Source organism: Homo sapiens, chromosome 12 (assembly GCF_000001405.40).
Source record: "Homo sapiens chromosome 12, GRCh38.p14 Primary Assembly".
Classification (NCBI taxonomy): domain Eukaryota; kingdom Metazoa; phylum Chordata; class Mammalia; order Primates; family Hominidae; genus Homo; species Homo sapiens.
The window spans coordinates 32,156,408-32,180,220 of NC_000012.12; the positions used below are offsets into that span (position 1 = coordinate 32,156,408).

Genomic DNA, 23,813 nt, shown 5'->3' on the forward strand with positions numbered 1-23,813 from the left:
ATAAAGAGATATAGCCGAGGGCAGTCTTAGTTGGGGCTCAGGTTACCAGCTGTCACATTACTGAAATCTCAGGATATGCTTACAGTAATTGAAGGAAAGCACATTAGGGTTATATTGACTCAGAATGAGGCACTCTCTGGGAGATCACCGTGAACAGCATTTTGGGAGCAACCTAGATCATTTCCCCTAAAATTCTGACATTTGCTTTTTGGTCTTCTGGGCTCCAGGTACTTATTACTCTTTCCTGAAGAGCTGTTAACTGGCTGTCAAGTTTACATTTTGAAATAGTGCCATGATGGCATCCCTATGCTTGGTATTATTTACCCCACGGAGGAGATGTGTGTATTGCAGAACACTCATGTTTAGATCAGCCAAGAGAACTGCTTGGAACAATCCTAGAAGCAGGCAAAGCTGCATTTTATGTTCTTCATATATTATTTGAAAATTACTAGTGGTCAAGAAACATTCCAACTGTTTGAATTCTCCTCTCCAAACAGGAAAATTCTGTAAAATTGTTTTTCATATATATATGTATAACACACATACATTTTATAACACATACATACACATATAAGCATATACTAAATGAGTTAGTAAATATACAACACTTTGAACTGTTGCCTGGGATATAATTACTGGCATAATTACATGTGCTCGTTATTATTTTTCTAAATCAAAGGTCTGGTTTTCATAGGCTTAAAAAATAATAAAATTGGATGTTAATGGTACAAGTTTTGAAAATATTTGATATTGATTCAGGAGATGAAACTGTCTAGAAATTACTCTTGTCTATTATAATTAAGTCCAGAGTCTTATTTTCAGAGATAAGTACTTGATCCCTACTTTTGTGTGTCAATTTGAATTTAATTTTTTAATGCATGTCTTTTAATACTACCCTTTATTATAGATGCAGACGTTAATGAAGAATCCAGTCCCATTTGTACAAATGCCAAGGAGTTTACCCTCTATTGAAGGGATGAAATGTTGGTAGAGCAAATGCAGGTGTATTATTATGATTACTTTTGGATACTTTGTATTAACAAATTTTCAGACACATTCCTAAAGATTCTGGGGGGCTGGAGCAAGCAGGCAAACAGAGGTCCACATACTCTATGTGTAAATACTAAAAGTGATCAATCAAGGGTGCTCTCCACCCTTTCTGCTTCTTCTGGAAGCTACCAAGATTCCTGGGTGCCCAAGGATACCTGTTGGGTGGTTGCAGGGGCCACCTAACCCCAAATTTCCTTGCCACCATTCCCTTCATCCTCTCAGCATGACAGCTGGTTTCCTACTTTTCCTCTTCTTCCCCCTTTTTTCTGTCTTTGGCCAAAGCTTAGTGAATTTTACCTTAGAGATTTTACTTTTAACCTATTCCCATATTTTAAATGTTTCCACGTATTCACTGCAGTGTGCTGATGGTTGGAGGTGGTAATACAGTTTCTTGGTTAAGGTGTGGTCTTTGGAATTTGACTGCCTGTTTAGGTCCTGGCTCCCCACTATTAGCTGTGAGACCCTGGGCAAATTACTTAACTTTTCTGTGGCTCAGGTTCCAGATGTAAAATGAAATTTTTAAAAAAGCAACACCTTTAAGTTTTCTTAAGAATTAAATGAGGCTGGGCTCAGTGGCTCACACCTGTAATCCCAGCACTTTGGGAGGCTTACACAGGACGATAATTTGAGCCTAGGGGTTTTTTTTTTCTTTTTTTTTTTTTTTTGAGATGGAGTTTCACTCTTGTTGCCCAGGCTGGAGTGCAGTGGTGCAATCTCAGCTCGCTGCAACCTCCGCCTCCCGGGTTCAAGCGATTCTCCTGCCTCAGCCTCCTGAGTAGCTGGGATTACAGGCGCCCACCCCCATGCCCGGCTGATTTTTGTACTTTTTAAGTAGAGACAGGGTTTTGCCATGTTGGCCAGGCTGGTCTTGAACTTCTGACCTCCAGTGATCTGCCCACCTTGGCCTCCCAAAGTGCTGGGATTACAGGCGTGAGCCACCGTGCCTGGCCCAAGCCCAGGAATTGAGATCAGCCTGGGCGACACGGTGAGACCCTGCCTGTATAAAAAAGAAAAATTTAAAAATTTAAAATAAAAAAAAATTAAGTGAGTTAATATGTGGAAAGAATACCTCTGGTATATAGGAAACACTCAACAAATATTAGCTATTCTTTTTCTTGGAACTCTGAAGGTGGCAGACTTGCTCCCTCTTCCTGTGTGGAGAGAAGCCCATGTACTTTATTTGTGGACAGTCATCTGTGATTCTCATGAATGGCTTTGCTTCCTTCTCATGTGGCTTTCACACTTATGCAGAGCTTTGTTAGAACCTCTGCTGCATCCTGCAGTGTGAAATTTACATTCCCACCTCTCCATCTCCATTGGTTTGTGAGCCCTTCAAAGGCAAAAATTGTGTTCTTTGGTTTTGTTTTCCTAGGGCCTTGCACAGCACTTGCCACTCTTGATTAAGCATGCTTAAGAAATGCTTGTTGAGTGAGTGCGTGAAAGGGGGGCCAATAACTTGTATGGTTATTTGTACGCCATCAAACTTTTTTTTTTGAGATGGAGTCTCGCTCTGTCGCCCAGGCTGGAATGCAGTGGCACAATCTCAGCGCACTGCAACCTCCGCTTCCCGGGTTCAGGCAATACTCTTGCCTCAGCCTCCCGAGTAGCTGGAATTACAGTCGCGCACCACCATGCCCAGCTAATTTTTGTATTTTTAATAGAGACGGGGTTTCATCACGTTGGCTAGGCTGGTCTCGAACTTCTGACCTCATGTGATCCACCCACCTTGGCCTCCCAAAGTGCTGATTTACAGGCGTGAGCCACCGCACCTGGCTCATCAAACGTTTGATTTATCGGTTTCCTAGCATATAAACTAGCTGCGAAGATGTGTATTTTTTTGAGAAGCCATGTGGAGAGAGTAGGGGACACAGAATCTGCTCTTCAGGCATGCTGACAGCAAAAAGTGACTACTAGTAGGCCATGAGGGATGGAAGAGAGAAATACTATAAAAAGCATAGTTGTCTGGGGCTATTTAAGGAAGACACAATAACACACTGCACATCCCAGGACCCCTTTCAGGCATCACTATAATAGCATGGTGTAAGAACTGTGTCCTCTCAGTCCTGTTCAGCTTCAGCCACTACTATCCTTTGTCTATTAATACAGCACCAACCACTTGGTCCCAAAGGAACGTTCTGGCGAGAAATGTGCAGAGAGAATCAGTTCGCCAGCAGGTGCGATTCTGGAATTGTTTGGCTGCCAGAGACCCGGTATTTGGTGTGTCCGTCATTACTGGGTGTTTGTGTCCCCAAGCCAGAGTCATCATGTTGACCATCCTCCTGAACTGGGGCTCTGGTTGGATTCCCACCTGTTTACCTGGTGCCTTAACGTTCTTCTCCACTTATCTTGCCATACCCTTCCTGGAGAGGAAAGAAGACAATTAATTTCTACCTGTAGTTTGGGTTCTCCTTCAAGAGAAATTACAAAACTGCCTGCCTTGGACCCAGAGCTTTCCTTCTTTAGGATGGTTTGGGCCTGACAGCCTGAGGTTTGAATCTGGTCTCCACCATTTCCTAGTTCATATTCACTCTCAGCAAATATTTAACTCTCTAAGCCTCAAATTTCTCACCCACAAAATAGGGATAATAATATCCTGTTGTTGTGCCCTTAGATGACGCATATGGCATCTAACACATACTTAGCATGTGGTTTAGTCTGGCACATACTTAGTATTCAGCAAATGGTAGCTGCTACCCCTCCCACGGCCATGTCCCAGCTACTGGAATAGCTCACTCTGGATATTGTTCACTTCTGGAACCAAGCCCACCTTTGCCAGGCAGCCTCGGCTAATCCCTTAGAGATGTCCCCACAGCAAGGGAATCTCTGCTAGCATGCCTTCCATGGCCTGTTTTGACAAGATGTTTATAATTCTCCAGGTTGTTAAGAAAAGGTTTTATCTTTAAAATGTAAAGCCATCGTTAGCTAAGCTAGCTTAAAAATTCTATTGTATACTTTAGAAATATTTCCACAAATATGGCTAAAATAAATGTAACCACTCTTGGAGAGGCAATGTTCATTTATCTTGAAATGGAAGTGCCTCACTTTTTTTTTTTTAATGGAGCCTCAATACAGTCTGAAAACCAGGTGGAAAGTGTTTTTCAGTATCAAGTGTGGTAAATAAGAGCTAACTGATTCAAATTACTTTTATTCCTTATCATCTGATATGAAAATCTGAATCATCTTGAAATACAGTGGTGCCCCTTAAAATTGCTTTTCTGTCTTATATTCATTCATTCATGCAGCAATTTAGGGTTTATTATATACAAGGTAGTAAGGTGGGTAGATATTCCTGTTTGTGACTGTTGAAACATTTTTTATTAAGTTTCAGGTATCATACACACATACACAGATACACACATGTGTGTTTTGTTTTTTCCCCTCTTATTAAAACTTAACACATGAAGGTAGATAATATTTCAATTGTACTTAAGCACTATCTAAATTTGCTTTATGTGCAGCAAGACTATGATATAACCTTGTAAATATCTAACTTCATTAAAAACACACATTTATACAGAATAGGTTAACTCTGTGGCTCTCTGAGCAATATCTTAACCTTTAGTCTGGAAGCCTTAATGACACACTAATATCTAATATTGCCTATAACTTCTTCAGATCCGGAAAGAAAAGTGATATAAATGTCATTATGTCTTGAGACTCACCTAAATGCAATCTTTAACATGACTTACTGAGCCCCCAACATGGTAAAAGATCTTAGCCTGAAAACACTCCTTGTCAAATCATTGCCCATCATAGTGCTGAGTAGTAATCTCTCCAGGCTGAAAGATGGCATGCCGTATAACAAATGAAAGGGAGCTGACACTAGAAAGAACATTAGTGAAATCAATATGATTCAACCAGAGACACAGACTCCGTTAATGGTATGTCAATATGACCAATTATTTCCACAGCACTGACATCATGATTGTATTTTTTTCTTCATCTTTAGGAGAGAACAGTTTTACTTAACCGTAATTGTTGAATTATAGCCATTGGCCGAGAAAGTCTTGGATGTTTTACATTGTTATCGTTACCAGTTTCAATTTGTCTTTATTTGATATCTAAACTCCTGATCATAACTTACCATAGTTTGAAGGTTAAGATCAATAAAGTGGACCAAACATTCAGTGAATTGTGAATTCTAGAAATGCCTGATGGTATCCACTGCCCAGGGAATAAGATGTAATGGAAGCAGGCAGAACTTGAAGAGCAATCAGAGATTGTAAATATAATCAGAATTGAATTCATATAGTTATTTTGTTAATTTCTGCTTCCTCAACTAGACTGTAAGCTTCTTAAGTGCAGGGAAGTATATATTTTACTTGTCATTGTATTTGTCATTCTATGCCATGTCTATCACCTGGCATAGAAGGCACTGGATGAATATTTTTTGAATAATTTTCTAACTTTTCATGAATTTTTGTTCAATTTTCTCATATTGGGAAGCTGCCAGTTTTAGAGTTATACCAACACTGCCATAATAAAAAAAAGCTGTCAAGATCAGGAAACTGCAGATACTTTCGCAGGTTCCAGAACCAGCAAAGGAATGCCCCTTACCATACCCGTCAGCACCCATGAAGTAAGGGAATGGACACTGCAACTTCTGGTAGCACCATCACAGAGAAGGGAAGTGCCTTCGTGAGCAGGCTTGATGGCAGCAACAGCCATCCCTCGGTCTCACATCCCCCTTTGTAATCCCACAGGCATGTGTCTGATTGGTGGATTCTAAACCACCCTCAGAAATGTAGCTGCAAAGGAGTATGAAATGTGCAGGTTTTAATATTCCAGCCTCTGCTGGAAAGAAGGCTTACAGAAAGAAGTTGGAATGGATGTTGAGTGCCAATCTACTGTATCTATTCTACTTCCTTAAAGCTTACATTCCATTAACAGTCTTTGGAAGAATGTAATATAGGCGAAGATTTTTCAGTGCCAAAAAATAACTGACATGGATAAATGACATGAGGCAGTGATTAAGTATGGGCTCCAGAGTGATGCTGTCTGAAGTCAAATCCTCTTCCACCTCTATGGGAATCCATTTCCATATCTATAAAATGGGTATCATCTTTCTTCAAAATATGGCTTTGAGGAATAAATAAGAAAAACAGTACGATATGCCTAGCAGAGTGCCTGGCTAATGGTAATTCATCAATAGAGGTTAGCTATTATACTTCCAATCCTTATTCTTCAAATTTTTGTTTTCCTGGCAGGAAACGGAGATTCTTTAATTAAAAATTAAAATTTGAGGTTGGGTATGGTGGCTCATGCCTGTAAACCCAGCATTTTGGCAGACCGAGGCAGGAGGATCGCTTGAATTCAGGAGTTTGAGACCAGCCTGGGCAACATAGCAAGACCTTGCTCTGCTAAAAACAAACAAAAAAATTAGCCAGGCGTAGTGATATGTGCCTGTGGTCCCAGCTACTCAGGAGGCTGAGGCAGGAGGATTGCTTGAGTTTGGGAGGTGGAGGCTGCAGTGAGCTATGATTGTGCCATTGCACTCCAGACTGGGAGACAAAGTGAGACTCTGTCTTAAAAAAATAAAAAATAAAAAATTTGATATTTTATAATTTTAAATTATGGTTTTAACATATTTAGTTGAAAAGGACTCTTCCAAAGCCTCATGAATATCTCTTACACATGTTAAATGATAACGCAGGGGTCTTGAGTTCTGAGGATTGTTCCAGTATTTCTACTTGCTTTTTATTAGCTCCACACCTAAGCAACCCCAAATTGAGAACGATTTTCATTATAATAGATTTTCATATAACATTTTATTATTTAATTCTTCCTGCCTTCTTTTCATTAATTTATGCAGCATTTGAGGGTTTATTATGTACTAGGGTACTGAGGTGGATAGGTACTTCTGTTTTATTTGAATGATATAAATTCTTATTTCTTTAATAATATTTTTATTATAAGACTAATACATGTTTATTGTGGAGAATTTGACAATAAACAAGTGTATAGAGAATAACATTAAATCACCTATAATCCCACTCTACAGGGCTGTTGGTAGCAAAGTGATATTTTCCTCTAGTGTTTTTCTTGCATATCCTTACTTTTTAGGAAGACATTATGTATTCAGTTTGGTATCCTGCTTGTTCACTCAAGACTGTATTATGAGCATGTTTCTGTGCCATTAAATATTCTTGGAAAACATTTTAATGGCTTGATAGTCTTTTATTATATGAAATATAAAAATATAAAAATTGCTGTTTCCCGTTTTCCAGTATTGTAGTCATGTCTTTGGAACATAGATTCTGGTGCTCACCAAATATTCCATGTGGCCCTTTCTATTTCCTGCCTTCCTGTTTTGTTGAGTTAGAATCATGAGACTGATATGAGTCAGTGGCCCATGAACAGAATCCACTAGTACCACTCACAGGCCAATGGTCAGAACCCAAGACCCCTGCGTTATCATTTCACATGTGTAAGAGATGTTCATGAAGCTTTGGACTAGTCTTTTTCAACTAAATATGCTAAAGCCAAAATTAAAAACTATCAAATTTCAAAATTTTTTTTTTATTTTCTGTTTTTTAAGACAGAGTCTCACTTTGTCTTCCAGGCTGGAGTGCAGCAGCACAATCATAGCTCACTGCAGCCTCCATCTCCCGTGTGTTTCCTTTCTTCCCTTCTTCTCTTAGTGAAACGAACTTAGAAGTGGCATATGGCGAATGTCACAGCTATAAGTTGGAGGAGGAACTACCAGTCTACTTTCAACTTTACCTAGACTGATGTTGAGTCAAATCATTGAGACTTACAGATTTGTCTATTATAGCAGCTTGTGTTAATTATCCTGATAATGTATAGAATGTATCTTGTTTACCAATGGTATTGATTTATTGTTATATTTTTTAAGGAATCTTTGCAGTTTTAATGGCCATGCTATTATGCCCCAATTCTCATTAGCGCACTTAAAAATCAGTTCTTTCCACCCTGTAAACTGAAAATAAATCAGAATATATGGTTCAAAAGTGAAAGACTAAAGAAAGTTTACTACCACGCAATCCTATCTTTGTCTCTTTCTCTTTTTTATTGGCGTCAAACTACTCAGTATTTTAGACTGCAAAATTTCCACTGCATGGAGGAAAGTAAATGGATTGGGATTATTTCCTGCAGGTAAATGAAACTTTATGGTATTTGTTATGGAGGCAAGTAGGGTACTTAGAGAAAGCCAAATATAACCTGTCCCTCCCTATCTTTTCCTTAGTTGTGAGGGTCAAAGGGGCACATTACAGTCTGGATTCAGAAACCCCTTTCAACAGCACGTAGATAGTTAAAGAGAAAGATTGTTCTTCAAGGGCCTCTAAGGACAAAAGTGAATCCACTAACACTCTAGGAAGCAGTGTGACTACTGGAAGAAAGACATTCAAGAGGTAAAATGGATTTTAGAAGGTCACAGGAGCCAATTGTCAGTGTTTGTACTCTTCATCAAAATTATTTTTAATGAGCTCCCTGACAACTGCGCATCCTGACAGCACGGGTGAAGTGGCTCATCTGGGGTCATGCCCGTGCCTGACACTGCCCTAATTAGCTGACACTGCTCTGCTTTGCTGAAGCACAGGGAGGTCTCTCGAGAAAGATCCAGAAGGGACCATGATAAATCGGGCAAAATATTCCTTGAGAGCCTGAGGTTCACATGAGAGCTCAGAGGAATTACAATAAAGATGGATTAGGAAAATGGAATATTAGGAGGGGAAAGACTAGAGTTACTAGAAGAGATATTTGAAAAGAGATTCCAGGATTTACTGGACAGGTTTGTTTAAAAGTATTTGAGTTGGCCGGGCGCGGTGGCTCATGCCTGTAATCCCAGCACTTTGGGAGGCCGAGGCGGGCGGATCACGAGGTCAGGAGATTGAGACCATCCTGGCTAACACGGTGAAACACCGTCTCTACTGAAAATACAAAAAAATTAGACGGGCGTGGTGGCGGGCGCTTGTAGTCCCAGCTACTCGGGATGTTGAGGCAGGAGAATGGCGCGAACCCGGGAGGCGGAGCTTGCAGTGAGCCGAGATCGAGCCACTGCACTCCAGCCTGGGCGACAGAGCGAGACTCCGTCACAAAACAAAACAAAACAAAAATTAGCTGGGCGTGGTGGTGCGTGCCTATAGTCCCAGCTACTCGGGAGGCTGAGGCAAGATAATTGCTTGAACCAGGGAGTCGGAGATTGCAGTGAGCTGAGATGCGCCACTGTACTACAGTCTGGTGACAGAGCCAGACTCTGTCTCAAAAAAAAAAAAAAAAAAGTATTTGAGTTGATGCTCTGTCAAAACTCATTTATCAAGAGGATTTGGTTTTAGGCAACGAAACCTTGCCTCAAACTCATTTCCAACTCAGCGGGTTTGAAGATGTGCAAGGATTCATCTGTTCAAAAGCAAAACATGATAAAACAATGCAGAACACCTCAAAACCATAGAGAAGTACCTGTGGAACTGTTCAGGAGTCCTAAAGGGGCTCATTCTAAGTGGAAAATTATTGTTACTCTTTCTTGAGTTGTTTCTGTGAATTACGAAAAAGGCCTATCTCAGTGAACAGACCATGTTGATCATACTATGAAGCAGAGATTGTAGAGATTTTATTAAACTGCCATACTTCTCAGTTCAGAGCTGTTTTACTCCTTCTCCCTGGGACATTTGGCAATGTCTGGAGACATTTATTTATTTATTTATTTATTTATTTATTTATTTATTTATTTTTTGGAGCCAGCGTTTCGTTCTGTCACCCAGGCTGGAGTGCAGTGGCGCAATCTCGGCTCACTGCAGCCTCTGTTTCCTGGGTTCAAGCGATTCTCCTGCCTTAGTCTCCCAAGTAGCTGGGATTACAGGCGTCTGCCACCATGCCTGGCTAATTTTTGTATTTTTAGTAAAGACGGGGTTTCACCACGTTGGTCAGGCTGGTCTCAAACTCCTGACTTCAGGTGATCCACCTGCCTCCGCCACCCAAAGTGCTGGGATTACAGGTGTGGGCCACCGCGCCAGGCTATCTGGAGACATTTTTGATTGTCACAACTGGGGGGATGCTTCTGGCATCTAGTGGGTAGAAGCTAGAGGTGCTGCTAACCATCCTACACTGCACAGGACAGCCAACAGGAAAGAATCATCCAGTCTCAAATGTCGGTAGTGCCCAGGCTGAGAAAGCTTGAGTTAAAGTAAACCTGATAACCTGTATTTAAATGAATAAAAGGGATAAGACTAGGGGAGAATAAAGCTGTCCACATTTGTAAGCCTCTACCAAGCACAGTGCCTGATGTGGGATTACAGACAGGCGCCTGTCTCAGTGAGATCATAGCATCAGTAATCCCTGTACCGTATGTAGTCCCAGATTGGAATCCTTGACCGAAGGCAAGTTCTCAACCTCTCTAAGACTCAGTTACAAAAAAGAGGGCATAATAGTGTCTCTTGCCTTATAGGTTTTGGTGAAAATTGAATAAGAAAACATCAGTAAGGATGTGGCATGGTGCCTGACAATCTTTAGATGCCCAATAAGTGGTAGCTAGTATCAACATAGAAATAAAATTGAAAAGATACACACACAATGTTTGCATTGGTTATCCTTGGGTAATGGGTTTTAACTTTGTTTCCTAGATTTTAAATTTTTCCACCATAACACGTATTGCCTTTATAATAACATAATTCACTTGTTTTAAGTCGATTCAGGAAGCTTCTGATTCTATATTATAAATTCTAAATGTTCCCTTCTATTTTCCAGAGTCAAGTTTAGATTATCTAGATCATGAAATAATCAGATATTTTCAGCTATTACCTAACTCATGAGTGTGTGGAATGCTGTGGCTTTCTGTTATTAGAATGAAATAAAAATGAAAAATAAATTGCTTATCAATATTCTGAGATAGCAAAGCAATGATGCATTTATGATAGACTGGATGATAGGATTTGTTTTTGCTGAACTTATTCATACATATTTGTGTTTTGCTTAGACTTTAAAATTGTTTCTTTTTCTATGAGCACATAGCAATAACTGGGAAGTGGCTGAGAATCATTCTTTTTTTTTTAATTTTTGAGACGGAGTCTTGCACTGTCGCCCAGGCTGGAGTGCAGTGGTGAGATCTCAGCTCACTGCAACCTCTGCCTCCTGGGTTCAAGTGATTCTCTTGCCTCAGCCTCCCAAGTAGTTAGGACTACAGGCGCATGCCACCATGCCTGGCTAATTTTTGTATTTTTGGTTGAAATGGGGCTTCACCATGTTGGTCAGGCTGGTCTCAAACTCCTGACCTCAGGTGATCTGCCCACCTTGGCCTCCCAAAGTGCTGAGATTACAGGTGTGACCTACCGCGCCTGGCCTATCATTCTTATTTGACAGGGATTTCCCTATTGCTGGGTGCTAAGTGATTGAGGGAAACCCAGAAACAGCTTTGTGTTGTGGTTAACAGCACAGATTCTGGAGCCAGGCTTCCTTGTACCAAATCTCAGCCCTACCGCTAACTAGCTTTTTGACTTCAGTGAAGTTTCTTAACTTCCTTGTGATTATTTTCCTCATCTTTGAAAAAGGAATAATGTCCTCAACAGGTAACATGAAGGTTAAAAGGAGATGGCGTGTGTGTGTGTGTGTGTGTGTGTGTGTGTATACTTGTGTATCTCATCCCTAAACAAAGCCTGGCTCATAGTAGGCCCTATATAAGTGCTTGTTACTATGATTGAAAGTTGGATATATTTTTAAATTTCTATTTTTCAATCTTTTGCAAAGAAGGAAAACACAACTTTGATAAAGGTAATTTTGGTAGACATTCTCTAACATGTAAACTGCTTGTGTAAACTGGGAAATACCAGATTGCTCTAAATTAATTAGTTCTATATTTGTTCAATTACACTGGATTGTGTTCTGTGTTTTTATTTTGTTTTGTTTCTTGTTTTCTACTCACATGGTGAGACTTGGCTTGGGTGAGTCATTTCTTTGAAGACCCTCAGTTCATACTAAGGGGCAAAAGCAGATGAGGGTCCAGGGCAAGGCATGGAAGCCAACTGCTCAGTGGTTTCAACCCGGGCTTCATGGGAAAAGGATGGGAGGGTGGGGTTGGGTGTCCTTGAGATTGAGGTGAGAACAGTTGCCTGAGAACAGGAACCAGAAAGTCCTAACAGCGGTCGATCACTGATAACATTTGTGCTGAAAACATTTCAGGCCCAAACTGTCTCAGCCATGCTGAGCAAGGCAGGAACTTGGGATGTGAACCACTCTCTTAATCGGGTCCACTGTGTATCCAAAGTTGACCCTTGAGGGCCAGGCACGGTGGCTCACTCCTGTAATCCCAGCACTCTGGGAGGCCAAGGCAGGTGGATCATCTGACGTCAGGAGTTTGAGTCCATCCTGGCCAACATGGTGAAACCCTGATAATACAAAAATTAGCCAGGTGTTTGTGGCGGGTACCTGTAATCCCAGCTACTCGGGAGGCTGAGGCAGGAGAATCGCTTGAACCCGGGAGGCGGAGGTTGCATTGAGCCGAGATCGCGCGATTGCACTCCAGCTTGGGCAACAAGAGCGAAACTTCATCTCAAACAAACAAACAAACAAACCCAAAATTGACCATTGAGAAAAACCCTTGCTTTGTGCCCATCTGTTGTGAGGAGATGGGACAGCCTTGCCCCTGCATGGAATCTGCTCAGGAGCTTTAGTTTCTGTAGTAGAAGGTGGGCTCTGTGATTAACTCTGTGGAGTTTAAGGATCTGGGTTCAGTGAGCACTCAGGCTCTGATGGGGAATTGTACCTGGAACGGTTAATTATCTCGTAAAAAGATCAATGGAAAAATTATTTTCAAGAAAAATAATAGATAAAATTTACCTACTCTGATACTTAGCACAATAAATATTTATTGAACTGTTGAATCTTTTCTAGGTATTTGAAGTTTTATTTTCAGGCTAGTGGCTTTTGAATTCTGCCACAGGAGAATTCAGTTCTCCTTCTGAGGCCTTCTGAGGAGGGGAGAGAGTGAAAGGAAGGGAAGAAGCAGCTTGGCCTGGACCCATTTTTTCCATTAATTTTTTTTTTCTTAGTAGAGACGAGCTCTCTGCTATGTTGCCCAGGCTGGTCTCAGACTCCTGGGCTCAAGCGATCCTCCCGCCTCGGCCTCTCAAAGTGTTGGGATTACAGGCGTGAGCCACTGTGCCCAGCCTGGACCCATTTTATATACTAGACTTTTCTAGAAGGTTCTCTTTGAAGAAAAGTTTTCTCTGCTAACCACACTTTGAAAAATTATTTCTGTAGGAAAATGATATATTATCCTTTGATAACCTAGGTCGCTGGACAGCTTTTGTTAAAAAGTTCTACCCATGTGGCTTTAGCTTCCAAAGATACACTTCCTTTTTTTGAGACAGAGTCTCACTGTGTTGCCCAGGCTGGTCTTGAACTCCTGGGCTCAAGTGATCCTCCTGACTTGGCCTCAGCCTCCCAAAGTGCTGGGATTACAGGCATGAGCCACTGCGCCTGGCCCCCAAGATACACTTTCACCAAACTGTGTTTCAAAGTTATGCTTTTAAATTGTATTTAAAGTTCATATAAGAACAGGCTTAGCTGTGACACTGTAGAGGCGAGAATGTGGAGTTGACACGGGTCCTTTTCACACTTGTTCCCCACACAGGGCCCACATGAAACCTGTCCCTGAGTTTAATCCTAAGAAAAACCTTGTTTCACTAGCAAATAATTCCCTTCTCTGAGAAGGCAAATTAATTATTTTATTTCCAACTTTCTCTTAGGCATCCTGAAATTCTGAGCTCAGTTTCATGCTCTGAAAAAGAAAAAATAACTGCTAGAGTCACAGAAATGGTATTGACTTTTTGGATTGGAATATTTGTTTTCTCTGTTCCTTACCTGTTTCCCCCTATTTTTCTTACTTCCTTTCCATTTTATTTTGTATGCCTCTTTGTAAGCTGCCTTAAATGCTTTTTGGAATGAGGCAGGATATACATTCAATAAATAAAATATGTCTGAGCCACTTATGAACAAAACCTTCTTGGGCCAGAGCCTAAACATTACTTATATAAAAAGACCTGATTCCTCACCTTCTACAACAATATTATTTAGTCATTTCTCTGCATTGTACTCAACTCTTTAAAGGTTATAGAATTGTAGTTAGCGTATTAGAAGGCTCATGGATCTAGATTCTATGTCCTCAGCAGGTGAAGTCTTTTTTACACAATGCCACTGTACGGATTGTAGAGTTCTTGGGCTGGCATAATTTTATGTGACCAAAATTTGGCAAAGGGTCTTATCAGTTTGAGGAGAGATTAGTGGAGCATTGAATTTCAGAGTTTGAAATGACATTAGAGATTATCTGGTCCAGTGATTCTCAACCAGGGAGACATTTGGTTATTTCCGGAGATATTTTTGGTCACAACTGAGGTGGGTGCTACTGGCTTCTAGGGATGGAGGTCAGGAAAGCTGCCAAGAACCCGACAGTGTACAGGACAGCCCCCACACCAGCATGTCACTACTGCCGAGGACGAGAAGCCCTGATCTAGCCAATCCTGTCATTTTTCAGACTCCAGGGAGTTTGTGACCTGACCTTCAAATATAAGATTTAATATTTAATTGCCCAAATTCATTCTTAAAATATAGCAAAATGATGAGAAATTTCCCTTCAAAACTGAGAACAAGACAAAGATGTCTATTATGATAGACCGTTCTTAGAAGTTTACTGCTCCTCCTGGGGATGCCTCTCAATAGAGAAATTCTACATTCCCGCCTGTTGAAAGCAGACATGGTTACTTGACTTGTTTGGGCCTATGAAATGTGAACAGAGGCGACACACGTCACGATCAGGTGGGAGACTTAGTAACACATGCCTGGTGTCCCATGCCCTTTTCCCTCTGCCAGTGTTCCAGGGCGTGGCAGGACTGCCAGCCTGGTCTTGGAGTCACAGCTGGGCCCCGAAGGCGATGCTGTGGGACCTGGAAATAAAGCTTTGCTGTTGTTTTAAAAATGGAATCACATTGTAAATTAGGATCCTGGGGAGCGTGGCACTAGGTATTCTTATGCAGAGCTAGATGGTGATGCTTTCCTTTCCTTATCACTTCAAGTCTGCAGACACAGCCTTCAGGGCGTTCTTCTTCTGTGGTTCCTCAGTTGGGGCACCTTGTCTGGAGTACACAGTAAGGCTATGCCACAGTCCTGCTATGACTGAGATGGCAATATGAGTGCTTTTCTTTGTTGGTGGTTTTTATATTTATGTTTAAAAAATTATAAACTAGGCTAGGCACAGTGGCTCACACCTATAATCTCAGCACTTTGGGAGGCCGAGGCGGATGGATCACTCTAGGTCAGGAGCTGGAGACCAGTCTGGCCAACATGGTGAAGCCCGGTCTCTACTAAAAATGTAAAAATTAGCTGGGCATGGTGGCGTGCACCTGTAGTCCCAGCTACTTGGGAGGCTGAGGCAGGAGAATTGCTTGAACCCAGGAGGCGGAGGTTGCCCTGAGCTAAGATCATGCCACTGCACTCCAGCCTGGGTAACAAAGCAAGACTTGGTCTCAAAAAATACACACACACACACACACACACACACACACACACACACACACACACACACTAAAACTGCTGACATTGAGCATTATACAGTAAGACAGATTTTCCTTCCTTGTTTCTTTGCATCAATTTTCTCTGCCTCTCCCTCCGTTCCTTTTCTGTTTGCTTCTACTCAGGACTGGGCACGAATGCACACATTGCTGTCTGGCTTGTATCTATGTGGTAAGTCTAGAATGATCAGTTACTGAAAGAAGAGGGAATCAGTGCTAGTGAAGGATATAGGTTGTGGTTAACTGGAGTTCCCAAGTAGCTGGATCTTTTGTGACAGGGATTGGCTAGTTTGGTTTTATACCAGATACTAGTTATATAGAGATGAAAAGACAAGTTTCCTTCACTCAAAGGAACCTTAGCTTAGAGTCTTGCAGGGAAATTGATTTGCAAGCAAGCTGCTTTGCTCCCTTACTCTAAACTCACACTTGAATCTCTGATCTTAACACTTTGATGGTGAAGAAAAAGCCCTCCAGAGAAAAGGTAGTAAGAGATCCAGAATCTAGAGCCTTTCCCAAGGCTTCAGGTAGATCTGGTTGAATTCACCTTGTTCTCTCTTGCCCCCTATTCTCTTATCAGTCATTCCCACAGCTTTAAGTGTTTTAAAGGAGTGGAAAGCTCCCAAGACTCAGGCCCTTATGTCACTCCTGACATGCACTTATAGGGGAGTCCAGAGTGTTTAGTCCTCCAGGGTTTTTATGAATGGTCAGTGTTACTCTCAGAAGATGCTGACCTGGGTAGGACAGGTTGTTCATCCATTCATTTGTGTGCTTACCATGTGCCAGGCACAGTTCCAGAACTGGGGATCCACTGCTAAATAAGACTGATAAGGTCTTTGCTCTTAAGGAGATTCCATGCTAGACATTAATTATATTAATCTTGACTCCAGTTTATGCCCTAAGCCAAGCTATCCTCTATTCTCTTTCGGCATTTTTCAGTTGTTAAACCAGCATCACCAGGTTGACAACATAACCCAACTAATACCAACAACATAAAGTGCCTGAGTTCACCAGCCCGCTCAGCTCCCAGCTGACTGCCCCGGAGTCCCGCCCTGTTCAGGCAGAGGCAGAGTTTTTTTTTTTGTTTTTTTTGGAGACAGCGTCTCACTCTGTCGCCAGGCTGGAGTGCAGTGGCACGATCGTGGATCACTGCAACCTCCGCCTCCAGGGTTCAAGCAATTCTCCTGCCTCAGCCTCCTGAGTAGCTGGGACTAAGGCTCACCACCACCCCTGGCTAATTTTTTTTGTTTGTTTTTAGTAGAGATGGGGTTTCACCATGTTGCCCAGGCTGGTCTCAAACTCCCGAGCTCAGGCAATCCGCCCGCCTCGGCCTCCCAAAGTGCCGGGATTACAGGCCTGAGCCACCGTGCCCGGCCCAGGCAGAGTTTTAATTGACCACCATCCCTTGTCCGACTCCTAGAAACTTTCACCTGGATTCCTTAAAGTGATGCCTTGCTGACCTGATTGGATAACTCAGTATTCATTGCTGAGTAGCTGAGGTAAGCGTGATGTTCACTTATTTCTCAGCTATCTATGAGAGCTGTAGCTTACATTGTGATCATTCTGGTAAATGTTCTCTAAGAAAGAAAACGAAAAAATAATGGCTAGAGTCATGTTCACCTAGTTTTAACATCTTTAGAGTTTTGCTTCTTCTCAGTTCAGTAGCTCAAAGAGAGAAAAAACACCCAAAGACAGCAATTCTTCACTCTAAACCCAATATTCTTCAACTTTCTAGAAATTATTAGCCACTTAATTTACTTTGATTTTCATCTCTGAAAAAGTATTCAGACTTATATATAGTTGCCAGATGTGTTCATCAAACACTTCTCTAAGAAATTTGTATATTTTTGGAATTCAGTCAACATTTTTTGGATAAATGAATGTGAACACTTTAGGAATTGCTTATTCCACAAATGATTTCTTACCAAGATTTCCAGAAACTATTTTCATATTGAAACAAAAACAAAACAACACACCACTCTGCTTCTTCCCACAGAGTTCTGAGACAGCTTTTACATAATGATCTTGAACATATTGTAATCTTGTTTATGACAGAAATGAAAAGCTGTCATCACATTTCTGTTTTGGAGAGTTCATTGTTTTCCCTGTGAATTCATAGGAGTTCTTTGTCTATTATAAATATTATCACTTTGTCTTGAAAATAGCTTTCCCTTCTGTACTCTTTCTCTGTGGGCTTTATGCATCTTTTGTCTTATAAAATGTATGATGTCTACAGAGTCAGATGTATCTGTTTTTTCCTTTTTAGCGTCTTTATTTTTTGTTTAACACAAAAACATCTGCCAGTTGGTAAGTTATAGAAATATTCTTAAATTTCTTCTAAAGTTTTAATATTGTATTTTTCAGTTAAAGTGTAATCCACTGAGCCAGGCGTGGTGACATACACCTGTAGTCCCAACCACCTGGGAGGCCGAGGTGGGAGGATTGCTTAAGCCCAGGAGTTTGAGGCTGCAGTGTACAATGTTCACACTACTGCACTCCAGCCTGGGCCACAGAGCAAGACCCTGTCTCCAAAAAAAAAAGAGAAAAAATTAATCCATTGGATTACTCTTTGTTTTCTTCTAGTTAAACATCCATTGTGTCAGCATAATCAAACTATCTTGCCCTATGAAATGAGTTGCTATCTCTTGTCTATATTCACATCTTTTCCCAGATTTTCTGTTCTATTCCCACTGATGTATTTACAGGCCAGTATCACAACCTGTGAAAGCATTGTCTTCAGTGGAAATTTTAAAATAGTAATTACTCCTTTCATTATTTTTTTCATAATTTTCTTGGTTATTTCCAGATCTTTACTTTTCAATGAACATATTTTTAAATCGCTTAAATCATTCAGATCTGAAACCTCATTGGCAGTCTAATTGGAGTGAATCTTCTGATTCACAAGCATGAAATGTATGTATTTCTGTTTATTCAAACCTTCTTTTAGTATTTTAAATATGCGTTTTGTTGTCTTTTTCATGTAGGATCTATACCTTTCCTAAATGTTTTATAGTTTCTTGTAAATAGAATTTTAAAATTCCCATTCTATCTGGTTATTGTAACTATAAGACAAAGCTATTGATTTTTTTCCTCTTTATTTTCTAGCATTTATTATTTGCAAGCATTTATTAGTTGACCTTTTGGGGTCTGTTTTCTCTTTTGAATGTGTAAGCACAAGGTAGATCATGTTTATCTTGTTTACTAGTTTATCCCCAGCATTCTGGCAGGACAAATGAATGAATGCATGAATGGATATCTGAAAAAGCGTTTGAGAGGAGATTCAACAATCTACACTACTTTCCCTTTTCTTCTTTTTACCTTGTGTTTCTAACACATACTAAGCTTTTTTTCTTTTTCTTCTGAAATGGGGTTTTGCTCTGTCACCCAGGCTGGAGTGCAGTGTCATGATCTAGGCTCACTGCAACCTCTGCCTCCTGGGTTCAAACGATTTTCCTGCCTCAGCCTCCCGAGTAGCTGGGATTACAGGTGCACGCCACCAAGCCCAGCTAATTTTTGTATTTTTAGTAGAGACGGGATTTCGCCATGTTGGCCAGGCTGCTGTCCAACTGCTGACCTCGGGTGATCCACCCACCTCGGCCTCCCCAAAGTGCTGAGACGACAGGCATGAGCCACCAATCCCAGCCCATTCTAAGCTTTTAACATCCTTAGATTACTGTTCCAAATACGTTGGGAAGGTCCCCCAATTTTTTCCTTAACTTTTTAAAAGCAACTTTATTGAAATATATTTTATATATCATAAAAATCACCTATTTCAAGATGATTTTAGTATTCAATAATTTTTAGTAGCTTTACTGAGTGATGCAACTGTAATGTAACGATAGATGTTCAGGTTTAGAACGTTTTCATCCTCCTAATAGGATCTCTCATGTCCATTTATAGTTAATCCCTGTTCGCACCTTTACCCCTATTCACAAGCAATCGTTAATTTACTTCTTGTTTCAGTGGATTTGCCTGTTCTGGACATTTCATATAAATGAGATGGTACCATATGTGAACTTTTGTGTCTGACTGCTTTCGCTTAGCATAATGTTTTCAAGGTTCATCTATGTTGTCGCCTGTGTCAGTATTCTCTTCCTCTGTTGCTGAATAATATTCCCTTGTATGCATGTACTACATTTTGTGTATCTGTTCATTAGTTTTTGGACATGTAGGTTGTTTCTACTTTTTGGTTATTATGAGTAATGCTCCAGTGAACTTCACATGTAAGTCTCTGTGTGGACATATGTTTTCATTTCTTTTCAGTAGGTACCTAGGAGCGGAATTGGTGGTTCATTTTATGTTTTTTGAGAAATTGTCAAACTATTTTCCAAAGTGGCCACACCATTTTATATTTCTAGCAGTAATGTATGAGGGTTCCTATTCCTCTTTTCTTAACATTTTTCTCACAGTTTATTGATGTATGATTGAGGTATCATTTACATTGAGGTATAACTTACATATGATAAAATGCTCAGATCTTAAGTGTACAGTTCAATTATTTTTGGACACATGTATACATGCATGTATACAACCACTGCGTCAATCAAGATACGAAACATTTGCATCATTCTAGAAAGTCCCTTGTTCCTTGCCCTCAGATTTTGATTTCTATCATTCTATCATACTGTTTTGATTTCTATCATTGTAGATTAGTGTTTATTCCAGAATTTCATACAAATCAAATCATACAGTATGTACTCCTTTGTGTTGTCTTCTTTCACTCATCGTAAGGGTTTCGAGTTTCATCAGTGTTATTGTGTTTATCTCAGTTGTTTGTTCCTTTTTATTGCTGAGAGCACTCCATTGTATGAATGTCCCACATTTTTGTTTATCCAGTTACCTGTTGATGGACATTTGAGTCATTTTTCATTTGTAGTTATTAGGAACAAAGGTACTATTAAACATTTATATACCAGTCTTTTTGTGGACATGATTTCATTTTTCTTGGGTGAATTCCCAAGAGTGTAATTGCTGGGTCATAGGGTAGTTATATGTTACTTACTGTTTTTTATCTAGTATTAAGTCACTTTACAAAATTCTTTAAGAATTACAGTTTTTTGGCCGGGCATGGTGGCTCACGCCTGTAATCCCAGCACTTTGGGAGGCTGAGGCGGGCGCATGCCTTGAGGCCAAGAGTTCAAGACCAGCCTGGCCAACATGGTGAAACCCCATCTCTACTAGAAATACAAAAATTAGCCAGGCGTGGTGGTGCGCACCTGTAATCCGAGCTACTTGGGAGGCTGAGGCATAAGAATCTCTTGAACCCGGGAGGTGGAGATTGCAGTGAGCTGAGATCACACCATGGCACTCCAGTCTGGGCAACACAGCTAGACTCAGTCTCAAAAAAAAAAAAGAATGACAGTTTCTAAAATATCGTGTCTTTGATTTTCTAAATTATTATACAATTTGCTGATAGGTATAATTTTGAGTTAGATCTTTATCTGTTGATCTGGAGGAGTTTCTGGGACTTTTTTTTTTTTTAAAGAAGCACACAAGTTGCCCAGAAATGTATATAGTATAATCCAAATTTTGTAAGACAAACAATAACATGTATGTATATGTTCGCGATTCTATAGGCAAAAGAAAAGATGTGAAAGATGTTCACTGGCATGCTAACCATGGTTTCGTGGCTGGAGTGGCGGAGGTGGTTAAGGGGAGGTGTAGAGGGTTGAGTTTACAAAAAAAGGAAACAGGGATAAAGAAAACACATTATTAAAGTTAAATGATTTAGTAGAGTATAAATATATAAATATATTTATATATTTATATAAAATATATATAAATATTTTAATATATATTTAATATATAAATATTTATAAAAATATAAATATTTATATAAAATATAAAATATTTATTGCAAAAACTTTTTAATGATAAAAATATTGGAACCAGCATAAAGATGAGCTTACCAAAGTTATTTGCAGCTGTTAAAAATAGTGATATACGTGTGTTTAGAATGTATGTTAAATTCAAATTCAGATTGCAAAGCAGTATGCATTCTATGGCCCTGACTACTTTGTGCTAATATGATTGTGATTATGGGCATTTTTGTTTACTTTTTAAAATCTTATGGGGGAAAAAAGCAGGAGTTATTTCTAGAAGTATGAATCACTGAAACACAGTAATATTCCTTAAATTATACTTTTCTTAGGATAGCTGTAATTATATAAGATTTAGTCAAATCTTTAATTAGATGGTAGGCTGATTGAGGGTAGGGATCCCTCAAGATTCTATTTGTCACCGTCAGAGCTCAGAATAATTCTGACTCATTCATAACATGAAGAGATCACCGTTGAACACAGTCCATAGGAAAGTAAGATCTCAGCATTAAAGAGATGCAGGTATGAGTGTTAAAGAAGAGCAGGCCCTGGTCAGAGTATTCTCCAATTGACGTCAATCAGTTCTCCACTTGATTGACCTGGAGAGTACTTTGACAGGGCCTGCTCTTCATTTACATAGGCTCGGTGCCTACCTTTTGCAGCTGAACAGGCTCGGCCCCAGTTCTTGCTGGGTTCTAAGCTACAGTTTCAGGGAAAAGGCAGAAAGCCAAGATAGGGCAGGAATGGGATGAAAGGGGACTGGCCTGTTGGCTAGGTCAGCAAATTTGTCTGTGATTTACAGCACTAAGCTCAGGATTTGACTTGATTAGAATTTGATTGCCTTTCATTTGATTCAAGTTGGAGCCACTGCTCCGGGCTGTTCTATCTAGTGGATGGACCATAGAAGCAGGGATCTCATGACTTAGCAATATTAAAACCTCAGGCAGGTGGCTTGTTGGTCTGAGCAGCCTCTAAATTTGTACAAAAGCCTGGTGGCTGGCTGGGTTGGTAAAAATGGCAGTTGTCCTGCATGCTGACATTGGGAGTTACTCTGCACTGCTGCAGGCTGTCCTGGCACACTGCAGGCCGGGCATCATTTCATGGTGGAGGACGTCACTCAGTTTTGCATGAGGCTCTTGCATCACATTTGTATTTAAGGAATTCACACCTTATTTTAGGGAAAACATCTGTTCCTTGGTTAAAACAGCATTGCACTTTTAACAGAGCGGCCACCTTTTTCCACATACGATAGGACAGGTTTTGGATATATGGAGTATTAACTGAAAAGAGCACTATATATTTCATAGTTCTTTAAAGACCATTGATATGTAAATCAATGTGTAAGAAGATATCGTTTAAGAGGGGTTATGGCACATGGTGGAAGGAATGCTGCTTTGCATTTATCCGTGTGAAGTAATCTGCCTGTGCATCTGAAGAAACAGCAGGCCCCGCCGCAAGTGATGAAGCAGTTCTGTGGAGAAACCCATTTACACCAGTTTCCAGATGCTATTCCACCAGAAATAATTCCAAGAATATACTTATATTTTAAATAAATGATAAAATCAATTTCCAGATGAAGTGTACATTACAAAGAGAAACTTGGTATTATTATGTATTAATCCATATTAACTAAAGTTGAACCTGACATCAAAATATTGATCCCTTCTTAAAATAGACAAAAATACTTTGAGTTAAATTGTTTTTCTTCCTATTTGTGCTAGCCGGTGCTTAAAGTCTAATGATGTGATAATTGAATAGTAAAGGAATCTAAATCTCTACTTTCTTGATTCCCAGTGTGCTAACTTTACTAAAATTGTGGGAATAAGCAAAATATTTTTCATAGCAGTAATAAGGATTTTTAAAAATTATGTGACAATTGTGTATTAGACTGAAGTAATTAATACCTTTGTCACAGGGACCGGGTGCAATGGCTCATGCCTGTTATCTTAGCACTTTGGGAGGCCGAGACAGGCAGATCACTTGAGGTCAGGAGTTTGAGACCAACCTGGCCAGCATGGTGAAGCCTCATCTTACTAAAAGTACAAAAATTAGCTGGGCATGGTGGTAGGCACCTGTAATCCCAGCTACTCAGGAGGCTGAGGCAGGAGAATTTCTTGAACCCAGGAGGCAAAGATTGCAGTGAGCCGACATTGCGCTACTGCACTCCAGCCTGGGCAACAAAGCAAGACACGCTCTCAAAAAAAAAAAAAAAAAAATTGGCATGAGACTAAAGAGGATTTAAGGTGGAGGATTTCCTCGCAGTAGGTAAAGAAGCAAAGCCCTGTTTATTCAGAGCCTGAGCTCAGACTTGAATTTCTTTTTTAGACTTTCATTTTCTCCCTTTATGAAGTGGCAAAGTCAGTTAAGTATAGATGTGGCCGTCTATGTCCCTGAGCTTCTGGGTTCAATAATCAGCTCTGCGACTCCT

At 40.3% G+C, this 23,813-nt stretch overlaps 1 protein-coding gene across 34 annotated transcripts in view, besides 1 other annotated feature; it reads left to right on the plus strand.

Annotated features, from left to right (window-relative positions):
* Positions 1-23,813, plus strand: part of BICD1 (BICD cargo adaptor 1) — a 276,787-nt gene that overhangs the window by 49,561 nt on the left and 203,413 nt on the right. The window lies entirely within an intron of this gene.
* Positions 16,796-17,310: an enhancer, noted in NCBI's record as "H3K4me1 hESC enhancer chr12:32326137-32326651 (GRCh37/hg19 assembly coordinates)". NCBI's record gives its function as "activates a minimal SCP1, AML or CMV promoter by ChIP-STARR-seq in primed H9 embryonic stem cells {active_cell/tissue: H9 hESC(primed)}" and the evidence as "EXISTENCE:reporter gene assay evidence [ECO:0000049][PMID:30033119]".